Below are 12,371 nucleotides of genomic sequence, written 5' to 3'. Positions count from 1 at the left end.
CTCCTGTGGGGAGACGAAAGGTAAGAGAAGGTGACATCAGATGGTAGGGAACAAATTGGGTCGAAGAGAAGGAGAAGCACATGACAAGATTTCTGGGACCTTGGCAAGTCATCTAACCTCTGTGAACCCAACTCTCTCTGTGCAATGGGAACAATACCACCTACTCTTCACAGAAATGCAATTCTTTATATCACACCTTAACCATTCACGGAGCATTTTCACACATATTCATAAGCATTGCCTCATTAGGGTGACTTGCCACAAATCACATAAAAAGAAAATGTCAGGTCTTATCGTACCAAGTTCATTTCTCTTTCCTCATTGCTGCAACTAGAAATACTCAGCTACAAGGATAAGGTCTTATTATTTCCATTCTAGCATGGATAGAATATATGATAGCATAGGTAAAAGTTTATAACACCAAAGTCACAGAAACAAAAAATACCCCCAACATAGCATAGTGTGATGAAAATAGAACCATCCTTGAAAACAACTATTATTACAAAGCAGCTGGAGACTTACATTTATGTTTCCTTTTAATTCATGTGAAATGATTAAGTTGTCAATTACATCAAAATTTCTGCCCATCATGGTTATATTTTGACCACCACTGCAAGGAATAAAAGCAACAATAAGGGTTTCATAGCTAACACACAGGCATTTTGCATTTATGAACAAAGCTATCAATTTATTCATGTTTAATATTAAACCCAATTATGTTTGAGAGCAAATTAATGAATTTTAATTTCAAATACAGGACAATTTTGGGAATCTTTTCAGGATACCAGCCACAAATTCATGGGTTTCAAGATGCATAAATATAAAAATTCAGGTCAGATCCTATTTTAATTCTAGGAAAATGCCCAGATTCTTTGATGGAATTTGAATTTTGTTTGTGTCATATCGCCACATATAATCAGATCAGGAGCTGTACCTTGAAAAGGTTTCACTAAACAGAATTTTGTTTGATTACTGTTTAATCTATATAAAGAGACTTCAATCTAAGAATTTTCAAAATCAAACTCCTAACCTACCAATGGTATGTTATTTAGAGAGACAGGAAACACTTTGGGCAAGGTAGAATTACAGATGACATGCAAAGTGTAAATTCCTATTTGGTACGCCGTATAAATAACAGCTGCATTCCATCTCTCTAAAACCAGGCCAAATAACTTCACGTTTCTCAGTGCATATAAGCAAAGCGGTCACTGGGTGTGAAAGAAACAGCTGTCCACAGCTCTGTCTGCCCTTGCACCCCTGTTCACGTAGGTCACCAGACACTCATTCTAGGGGACAAGAGCCTGGGTACGTCAGGTCCAACAGCCAGCTGAGCCCCTGATGACAAGACCAGGAGGTGGGCCTGAGCAACCCAATTTGTGTAGGGCAGAGAGAAGACACTGATCTCTGAATCCTCCAGCCACAATGGGGAAGGGCTGAGTTGGCCTCATGCCAGTCTGTAGCCATTACCAGAAAACCGAGCCAAGCGTGATCTCCCGATGGCCAGCATTTAGAGCCACATTCTTGCTCAAGGCACAGTGACCAAGGAGCAGCCAAGACACACAGGCTCAGAATGTCGCAGGTGACAGAACAGTAGGGAGCCTCTTACTTTATAGCAAAGCAGGATACTGCTGTGGCTCAGAGCCCAACCTCCTAGTACCAGCTGTCTGGGAGGCTGGGGTGAGTTGTTTGAACCCTTTTCCTCCCCCAGTTCCCTCATTTGCAAAAGGGACAAGCCATAGCAGATCTCATAAATTTGTTGTGAGGATTAACCTAGTCAATAGATGAACACACCAGGCACATGGGGCATGCCACATCAATGTCTCCTTTTATATGGAGAATGGAATTGGTCCTAGAGTGGGGGATGTCATGCTAGAGCCTTGGTTTTGAAATTTCAGTTCTCCTTATCTTACTATTATGGACTGAACTGTGTCCCCAAAAAATGTGTCCCCATAAAATGTATGTTGAAGCCCTAACTCCCAGTGCCTCAGAATGGGACTGTATTTAGAGACGTGGGTGGTTAAAGAGGTAAGGAAGGTTAAACGAAGTCATTGGGGTGGGCCCTAATCCAACATGACCGATGTCCTTATAAAAAGGGGAGATTATCCCAGCTACTAGAGAGGCTGAGGCAGGAGAATCACTTGAATCTGGGAGGCGGAGGTTGCAGTGAGCCAAGATTGCGCCACTGCACTCCAGCCTGGGTGACAGAGTGAGACTGTCACAAAAAAAAAAAAAAAAAAAAAAAAAATTGGGGAGATTAGGACAGAGATACAGAGGGAAGACCACGTGAAGACATAGAGAGAAGATGACCATCTACAAGCCAAGGTGTAAGGGCCTCAGGAGAAACCAATCTTACCAACACCATGATTTCAGCCTCCAGAACCGGGGAGAAAGAAATTTCTGTTGTTTAAGCCACAAACGCTGTGGCACTTTATGTCCACCCTAGCAAACTAATATAGCCACCTCTCACTTGATCTTAAATAAGAATATTAAAAGTGATTTTTTTCTTCTCTACTTTTTTTCCTCTTTCTCTTCCCCTCCTTTTCTTCTTCTTCTTCTTCTTTTTTTTTTTTAACAAAGCTTTTTGTCTGTAGGTTTACCTAGAGAGTACTTTGAAAATTAGCTTCGTACTGTGTCAGGCAAAGAAAATATCGTTAGGATTTTAGTCCTAAAGAGATTTAGGAATAAAAATATTATGAAAGTGAATTTAAATTCAACTAGGAGGAATCTTTATTACAGCATTCTTCACAATAACCAAGATAGGGACTCAACCTAAGTGTCCATCAACAGATTAGAGGATAAAGAAAATGTGGTACCTATACACAATGGAGTATTATTCAGCATACAAAAAAGAATGAGATCCTGTCATTTGCAACAACACAGATGGAACTGCAGGACATTATGTTAAGTGAAATAAGCCAGGCACAGAAAGACAAATATTGCAGGTTCTCACCCATATGTGGGAGCTGAGAAAGTTGGTCTAATGGAGATAGAGAGTAGAATTATGGGTATCAGAGGCTGGGAAGGGTGGTGTGGCGGGGCCAGAGAGGGATAAAGAGGGTTTGGTTAATGGCTACAAAAATACAATGAGATAGAATAAGATCTAGTGTTCAGTAGCATAGTAGGGTGTCTATAACTCACAATAATTTATTGCATATTTAAAAATAGCTAGAAGAGTGGAATTGGAATGTTCCTAACAGAAAGAAATGATAAGTGCTTGAGGTGATGGATACTCCAATTACCCTGATTTGATGATTACATATTCACTGTATGATCATAGAAAAAACATCACGTGTCCCATAAACATGTACAAGTATTATGTACCCATGAAAATGCAAAAAATACATAATAGTAATAAATTTAAAAATTCAACTAGGGAGATAAATGTTTTTCTTAACATATTGGATTTATCTGGGAGAGTTTATTTTGGGGTTTCCATCTCCCCCTTAGGGAACATCTTGAAAAGGTTGATTCTGCTTTTCATTTTGATAGCTCCCAATATTTCCCCCAAAGAATTCAAAACAGCTTAAAGTATCTAAAGTCTATAAAATGAAAGAGGTAAGAAAGAAGCCTTTTATCACAAGCAGGAGGGACACATAGTAAAGAGTGTCATATATCTATATCAAAAACCTAGGCAAACATTTCAGCTGTGAGTTTCTCAGCAGCCATGGTGAAGGGAAAAAGGTGTGCTCATAGCATTCACGATGAGCATGGGAAGCAAATGTCTTGTCAGGTATGCATTTTTCTAGGAGTAAATCCTAAGGAGAACTCGGTGAGAGGAATTTGGAATGACCACTGTTTCTGAATTTACTTGAATAAAATCAATGATCTTTGGGCATATGACCTTTAACCACAATGAGAAAAAGATTATGAATCTAGAAAGTACCTGATCCAGGTGGTAGCAGGAAATATAAGGGAACAATGTGGCAGAGCAATGTAGGATAAGGATCCCACAGAAGAGCAGTTCCCACCATCAAACTGGATACACACATCCTTCATTTCTTTCCGGCTTGATGGAAGAGAGAATTTCATGTGGGTGTCATTTAGCACATGGCTAACCTGTATCCTAGAAAAGAGTAGAAAAAGAACTCTCACATGACACAGACACTTAGCACAGTTGATTACCCAAGGTGACAGCAAATGAATTTCACTTGAACTACAACACTTCATGAAGGAGCAGAACAGCTGCAGGCAACTACTGACTCATGAGGGGCCAGTGACCCAAGTTGGTATTATTAGGGGTTGGGTTCCTCTTTCTTTAGTACATTTTTATCTTTCTTATTTGCATTGCCCTTAGAAGTGGGAAAGGAAGGAGGTGTAACCATTGCCCTGAAGAAGTACTAATAGAAAGCAGAACATGAACTGGGGGTTACATTATGTTAAGAATTGTGGATAATTCTGTTGAGTATCATAATGGCACTATGGCTTATCTGTTAGAGAGGTACTGAAGTATTTAGCAGTGAAGGATATGGTGTTTGGTTCTTATCATGCCCCCCCAAAAATCCCAGATAAGATAGATGAAGCAAGATTGGCAAAATGTTGATAGGCTTTGAAACCGGGAATGGCTACAGAGAGGTTCATTACACTCATCTCTCTTGTATTATGTTTGAGTTTCCATAATAAAAAGCTTAAGAAAAAAAGCCCTAGTCAAGCACTGAGAGGGTAAAACACAGCACCAGACAGAGATGGAAATTCTGCTGTTCAAAGGGGGCCTAAACCAAGAGCCCAGGCATCTCAGAATCAATCAGCATTGGGGCCAACATGCTCCCTAAGGAGTATCCAGGCTGGGACTTAGCTGGGGCTGTCCAGGGTGCTCCTGATGTCCAACAGCTGATGCTTGGCGCCCTTTCAGAGTCAGAGCGAAGCTTTCTCCGACATTCCCGCTGTCACCTGCAGCTTCCTCTGTGTGTCTACAATGATCCTCTAAAGCACAAATCATTAAGCCTGGGTTGTGTCTGAATAATGCTCAGTATAACCGTGCTACATGAGAATCTGTTATTACTACTTAAAGGCCATGTGCATGATGATTAACTTTAATGCTATCACTAACCCTTTAGGATAAGGCAAATTCAAAAACATCTGAGTCAGTTTGTACTTACGCCACCTCAGACGCACATTTTCAGGTTTATATTCAGAGCAAAGCTCTAGGAAATTTATCATAAAGTGGTTGAACATTAAAATTCAAACTTGTTTATAAATTTCAGAAGAAGAGAGGTGAAAATGTAGGTCATTCCACTACTAGTATTTTTCTCTTTAAAATAATTACCCATTTTAAAAGTACCATATTAAAAGAGCTTGGGATTACAGCCTGGGCTCAGGTATAGGATTAACTGAGTATTATGTTGACTGCTTGTGAACTTGGCTTCACCACACAGATGTGGTTACTGAAATGCGACATGCAGAAAGGTCTCCTAGTCATTTAATTTAATAACTGCAGTATCTCAAGACACATTCGGAATTAAAATGAGAACATAAAGAGTCAGAAACAGGGTAATGCTCCGAAAAACTACTTATTTTCCATGAAGTTGATTGCCTTTCAGTGAATACACAGGTGTCTAACTTCACAGATTTCGCTACATAAAATGAAAGATTTTTGCAATAAGGTATTTAGCCAGGATAAACAGCACAAAAAAACCTATGTTGCATAGATACAGCCTCTAATGTGTGCTTGATAATTCTGGCAAATAGCAGAACACAGGCAAGCCACCAATGAGCAGCTTTTCTCATCAAGATCACAGATATTCCAAATTTACTGCTATGAGGGGAAGGGCATGGCAGTGATGTGCAGAAAATGAATTAAAGAAGAAAATTCAGTAAATAAGCATAGCAGATTAGAATGCTGTACAAATCTGTTTTAGTAGTTAAAAATCAAAACATCACGCTTCAGCAGATTGTCTTAAATGCATTTCCATGATGAAAATAAGCTTAGTATTATACTCTATGTAGACTGTAACATCTTTTACTTCAAATTAGCCCAAACTTATATGAGTTAACAAGCAGAAAACTCAAATAATCTGTTGTGTTATTTAATAACTGCAGTTATCACATCACTTTTTTTTTTTCGAAGGGGGAGTAACCATTTGCACAAGGACATCGGTAGAAATTGAAAAGTCTTTCTCCAAGTTTCACCGATGTGATGAGTTTGGGAAAGAAGTGACAGAAATAATAATGTTCAAGAGATACATTGACCAGATATTTATGTTGGGGTGTTCTTTTTTACTACCATTATATGTAGTAGTAATTTAATTTTTGGAGGCTGAAACCAAACCAGTAAAGAGAAGGCTACAAAGAATAAAATGTCCACATAAAATGGATCCAAGAGGTTTTGTTTTTTCAACTTTGGGTGGCACACTGGAAGAGCTGCTCCAAAAAATTCCTCATCAAATTTCAAGGTACTCAACTATTTTTCCAAGTGCATCACCTAAAGAATGATGTTTGCTACTCCATATACTTGATTTTGTTACTGAAAATGAATCAAGACCCCAAACAGGCAACATCCTGAAATGACTATATACTGAGATTTTTGGGGAATAACACAGAACAGATTCTCTCACAATGAACTTCAGATCTGTTGTGAAAATTATTTTACGTGTTGGAATTATATTATGTCAAATACTCTGACTAATTGGCCTGCTTTGGGGCATGGCAATAATTTGACTATATTAAGGTTATAATCACACTGATATTCCTTTGGCACAGGTTTGAGCGTTACGTTACCGAGGATAAATTATTAGTATTTCGACTCACACATCCTTATCACAGGTACTGGTTCCTTTCAGGATCATTGTGATGTTCGATGCCCGGGTAAAGTTTGCTCCCGTTACTATCACGTTGCTTTTCCCTAATGTCGATACTTTCTGTGGCTCAATGGACTTAATGTAGAAGACCTATTGGAAAGAAAAGATTAAAACAGGAGATCAAAGCTAAGAAATGGCATCGCTCCAAAAAAATCTGTTTATACGCTGCAGTTCGAAGAAATCACTGGGAAATTACAACATTTTGCGAACACAAGCAGACAGTGTTTAATGAAATCAATGAATTCAAGGAAGAGGGCTGCAGATTCATGTCTCTCAACATGTGACAGCATGAGGTCAAACCAATTAGTCTTTGTCTCACAAGACAGTTGAAAATACAGTTGAAAAGTCTGATATTCTGTCTGAAGAGTGAGGTATCACTAGAGTTTTGAAAATGTTTACTGCCTTACAGCCTCTGGAGGCTCACAATGTAAGCAAAATCAAGGAAAAGAAAGAGAGTCCATTGACCGTAGGCCAATGACAGACTCATCGTTAAGTTGAAATAAATGTCATTCCAGATAAATTCAGTTCCCAAGAAAGCAGTCATATTTTTGTTACAGTGAGGCTATTTGAATCCAGGAGGATACTGCAGGGGGAAAAACCTCAAGAAATCAACCTGTTCAGTCACCTACTATCAAGTAGTTGGATGTCTAAACCACTGTGGCCAACCAAGGTTTGTAGATACCACAACCTCCTTCTTGCTACCCAGTTTCAATAGACTTTATCAGGCCTAAGGTCAAGAACATGTCCCTTGGAGTCCCTTGCTACCTAGCTTCATACCATATAGGTGAATGCCACCTTACTTCTCCATTTGTGATATCTAATCAAATTCTCCCTTTAAAAAAAAAGCCCTTTATTTGATAGCAAGAATCATTTTCCCTTTTCAAGATAAAACAATCCTGAGTTCTTTCACTTTTATGTTACAGATGCTACTGTCTATCATTCTGATAATTTCACTGTTCTTTTGTAGACCATTTTCAGCAAGTCTGTATTCTTCTATAATACGGTGACCAAAACAGGACATAAGATTCTAAGATTCTACCCAATATAAAGTCCAGCAGAACTTCAGCAAGAGTGAACATCATACTCACACTCTTTTTTCCCCTATATCCTCTACCATCGCAGAATATACTCAGTCTTGATATTTGAAAATGACCCCAAAGTCCAGAGATGCTTAATCACATGACGTTTGGTGAAATTCTAAATGCTGAGTGCATCCACTTGGAGGACCGAGTCCAGGAAGAAGCCCCTGAGCCACTGGGAGAACTCCGTGATGTCCAACACCTGCCTAACACCTGCTTCTTGAAGCAATTGAGTATCCTCTGCTCCTTTGTACATGGAACACTCATTGGGGTGGCATTGCTGGGCTACAGGGGCTGCCCATCCTGCTCAAACAGACATTTTCTCATTCTGCTCCCCAGCACACACAGGTGCTACACGGCACAGTCGTCCCCATCACTCATCAGCGCTTTGGACTGGTTTTGCAGATTGAGGTAAATTCATTGTTAATGTCATCACAGCAATGATGTAACATGACACAGAATTGATTTTGGTAGCAGAATTTATTTTAATCACTTTGTGAAGGACGTTAGCCCTGTATTAATAGAATCACTAAGGGCCTGAAAGGGTCACTTTAATTATTCTGTTATACTTGACTGCATTTTATGGGGGAAATTATCTGCTAGAGTGGTACTTGGAATGGGGGGATTAGCAAAGCCTTCAAGATAAATCTCTTGCAAATGTCAAGTGTGTGTTATATAGCAAAAGGCTTACTCTTCGCTCTTACGTGGTGACAGCTAAGAGAACAAGTGTTTATTGAGCACCTACAGGGTCCTTAGGCCAGATATTGTGGGGGACACATGATCTATGTGTGCACTAGATCAGGAGTTGGCAAACTATAGTCTGTGGGCCAGATCCTGCCCGCTACCTGCTTTTGTATGGGCCATGACAAAATGTCAAAAGAAGAATAATATTTCATGACATATAAAAACACATGAAATTCAAATTTCAGCACCCATAAATATTCGTCTGGGTAGTGTCTCTGGCTGCTGTTGCACTGCAGCAGTCGAGTGGAGTAGCTGCAGCAGAGACCATACGGCCCGCAAAGCCTAAAATATTTACTGTCTTGGCTCTTTGTAGAAAACATTTGCCGACCTCTGCTCTAGAGGAGTCCACTGTCTTCTTAGGGGAGCAAGATAGAATTTTTTTTCTTTTTTTATGTAAACCTCATTGCAGACTCACGTTTACATCCAAGTCAACTATGATTCCCAGGTTTCTTTTCTTTCTAGATAGTCCTTCCTGCTTCTTATATTTATACTGTTGATGTCTGCTCAAGCAAAATTTTCAAACATGCCAAGTAAATGCTTCTTCTCCATTCTCTGCAGAGGATAAAGAGAGCCTTACAACTAATGTAAAAAAGATTTTTTAAGGAAGTTATATTTTGCTCCTTAAATGGCTCTACGAACACCATCAGAGGACTTGCCACATCATCTTATTAACTTTTTATTTCCCTGAGTGGAGACCGCCTTGCTACTTCAAAAACATTTTAAACCCCTATTGTTTAGAGAGGGTTCTCTTGGCCATCTAGGATGGAATCCAGCCCTGGCCTGTCTTGTGAAAGTGGGTGCTTCAGTCTGCTTTTAAACAGACTCAGATTAGTTGTCTTTTGTTTGCTGGTGGAACCTCTTCTAATCTTAATAAATGGGTTAAAGAGCTACCAAGAGGACCCTCCTAAATAAATAGTGCAGGTATAAAACAACATTTTTAAAACAAAATGTAGAGTCAGCTCCATGGCTGCCCTGTATGGTTGCAACAATTCTTAGAAATACATTCTTTCTTTTTACCAATAAAGATTTTGAAAAATCCAGTACAGACAAAAGAGCAAAGAATCATTTCCCCATAAAGGTTCTACACATTCAATATTTTAGATCAATTTTTGTATTTTCATCAAGAGTTAATTCATAAAACCTGGCATATAGTAGCCAGCCCTATAAGCTTATGCATTTTAGAGGGAGTTAATTGTAAAACATAATTGAGCTCAATACAAAGAGACAAATTCTTAGAGCCCTATCGTGGGATTCCTCCCTCACTCTATGTCCAAGGATTTCTATGTATTCAAATCAAAATACCGTTGACTATAACCGTCACAGCCCTATGTTGTCCAGCAATTAACCTCAGAATAGTGTGCTTCCTGTAGGTTACGTTTTAAAGACTTCAGGGTTATTTTTAAATGGCTGCACAATTTGAACTTATTTAATAAACTACTATGAGCTCTGGCTTTCAGTCCCTGTTTTGTATAAGAAAGCACATTAGAAGCTGGTTAATTAGGAGATTTATAGAATACCCGATCCTTTTTATTTTTTATTTTTAACTAAGTCATTATAGGATATTGGAAATAGCACAACCACTAAGAAATAGTTATCTTTCAAAAGGTCTAAGAGGATTACTTCTGACAGTAAGAGTACCTTTTGTGAAGTCTGACGTCAACACAATTCAAATTACCATGACATTAATGGAGAAAATACTGCTATGATTGAAAAGAATATTGGAAAGAGGTGCATTAGGAGGGCTCAGTTTATTAAGGCCAAATTGTACTCTATTAATCTGTTAAAAAAAAATCTGAATATAGCAAACTCTCTGTAGGCCTGGACCTGAATCAACACTCAGTAAAACATCTCTCGGATTTTCACTCATGAAATTAGTTCAAACAGGACTAGATAAAAAGTCACATGGATTCAAAACCAGCTGGAAATCTGAAACCGAAGGACATTAGATAGATGAAAGGTAGCACAACTAATTAAAGGAAAGAGTCCTGTAGGGCCCTACAGGAGTGAGTATTCGGTTCAGGATTATTTAACATCTTTATTAATGACTGAGAAGAGGATAGAACTAATATATTAATGAAATGTATAAATTGGTAAGAGTGGTAACCAGCCGTGGAAATGGGAAAGAGTAAAAGGAGGTGAGATATGGAAAGAAAATAGCAAAATACAGGTCCACTCAAGAAAAATTAGAGTGTGAAATGGAACAAAATGGTTATCCATTTGATGCTTAGCCCCTGGGACAAATGCCTTTTCACGGGGGCCCCTCGGTACAGGCTCCAGGGAACTTGAGATGTGATTTCAGTTGGCCCTGGAAATGCCAATAGTGAGCAGTGCCTCTGGACACAGAGCTTGAGACTTCCAGATAGAAGGTGACAGACCAATGCCCTGTGCGAAGAGATCAAGACTCACTTCTCTGAGCTGCAGACTCTAAAAGGAGGCTGACTTGGCTGCCAAGCCCACCCTCCGAACAACCTGCTATTCCTCTTGGCATTTGAGCCTTCTGAGTGTGGCTCCCCAGACCTGGACTGGGTGACCAAAACTCCAGGGCCAGGGAGGGCAGCTCTTCCCAGCCAGTGGAGGGCCCTGATTCTAATTTAAACCCAGCCCCTCAAAGTCCACCCTTTGGCCAAGATTCGACTCATGCATGAGATTCTTGCTGCTCCCCTCTCCCCAGGGCCTCAGTTGCCTCACTAAGCCTATTCTGCTCTCCCTGTCTTGGAGCAGATGCCCAGCCGTGTCTGGGTCTGACTCCTTCCCTCGGACCACACCCTGCCCCACCCCTTTCTCCCATGTCTTTGAGGTTAATACACTCCTCCCACATCCTGGCCAGGTTGGAGGTCTTGCTCCCACCCTACATGTGTGGCATGGATCGGGGGCAGGCTTTGACAGTCTAATGCCAAGAGAAGCCAATATTAGAGTCCTTTCCAGACTGACTTTTATTAATATCATCAGTAGTATGGTTTAACCAATGTTTATATTCAATTTAGGGCATACAATGTAGGGTAATGGTTAAAACTCTGTTGAGTCAGATTGCCTGGATTCATATTTCTTACCTACCATTTGCTCTCTCTGAGCTAAAATTTCCTTATCTATAAAATGGGGAAAATAGGTCCATTGTGAGGCTTAGATACTCTGAGCTCAGGGCATGGCACAGGCTCAGCGAATCTTAGCTACCACTGTTCATTTGAGTACATTCTGGCATTCTCTCTTGTATCTTTTTCTCTTGTGCACATGCAACTGCTTCATGAAAATGAATCTTATTTCCTCCAAAATATTATAAGTTCTACCATGTAAGCTCCATGCAGTCACACACTTTGCCTGCCTGTCTAGCACATAGTAGTTGCTCAGCAAACAAATTTTGAATGAATGAATAAATGAATGATTGTAAGTTAATTCTACAGTACCCGGCTCTATGCTAGGCCCATAGAAGCTACTCAGCAAGGTATATGTGAAATTTAATTTCACTCTTGAAGGCAAGGTCCCCAAAAGCATTCATCTGGATTGCCTGTGAGAGATCAAAAATGCATATTCAAAAGTGATGGAGGGGCCGGGTGCGGTGGCTCATGCCTGTAATCCCAGCACTTTGGGAGGCTGAAGCAGGCAGATCACTTGAGGTCAGGAGTTCGAGACCATCCTGGCCAACATGGTGAAACCCTGTCTCTACTAAAAATTGGAAAAAATTAGCTGGGCATGGTGGCGGGTGCCTGTAATCCCAGCTACTTGGGAGGCCAAGGCAGGAGAATCACTTGAACTGGGG

The 12,371-nt window shown here is 39.9% G+C and overlaps 1 protein-coding gene and 1 long non-coding RNA gene across 6 annotated transcripts in view; one reads left to right on the top strand and one right to left on the bottom strand.

The window, feature by feature from the left end:
* PLXNC1 (plexin C1) overlaps positions 1–12,371 on the bottom strand; it is a 159,099-nt gene that overhangs the window by 63,128 nt on the left and 83,600 nt on the right. For all 5 annotated transcript variants that reach the window (NM_005761.3, XM_006719186.5, XM_047428050.1 and 2 more), the window contains exons 10-12: positions 6,745–6,884; positions 3,884–4,063; positions 523–610 (exon numbers count right to left, since the gene is read on the bottom strand). In NM_005761.3, the coding sequence (NP_005752.1) occupies positions 523–610; positions 3,884–4,063; positions 6,745–6,884 (408 nt within the window). The remainder of the gene's footprint in view (positions 1–522; positions 611–3,883; positions 4,064–6,744; positions 6,885–12,371) is intronic.
* LOC124902987 (uncharacterized) lies at positions 6,745–10,073 on the top strand. Its single transcript, XR_007063410.1, has 2 exons — positions 6,745–7,464; positions 7,762–10,073. It is a non-coding gene; the product is annotated as an uncharacterized LOC124902987 (long non-coding RNA).

The sequence above is a fragment of the Homo sapiens genome, chromosome 12 (assembly GCF_000001405.40).
Source record: "Homo sapiens chromosome 12, GRCh38.p14 Primary Assembly".
NCBI lineage: Eukaryota > Metazoa > Chordata > Mammalia > Primates > Hominidae > Homo > Homo sapiens.
This window is presented reverse-complemented; position numbering and strand designations above follow the sequence as displayed.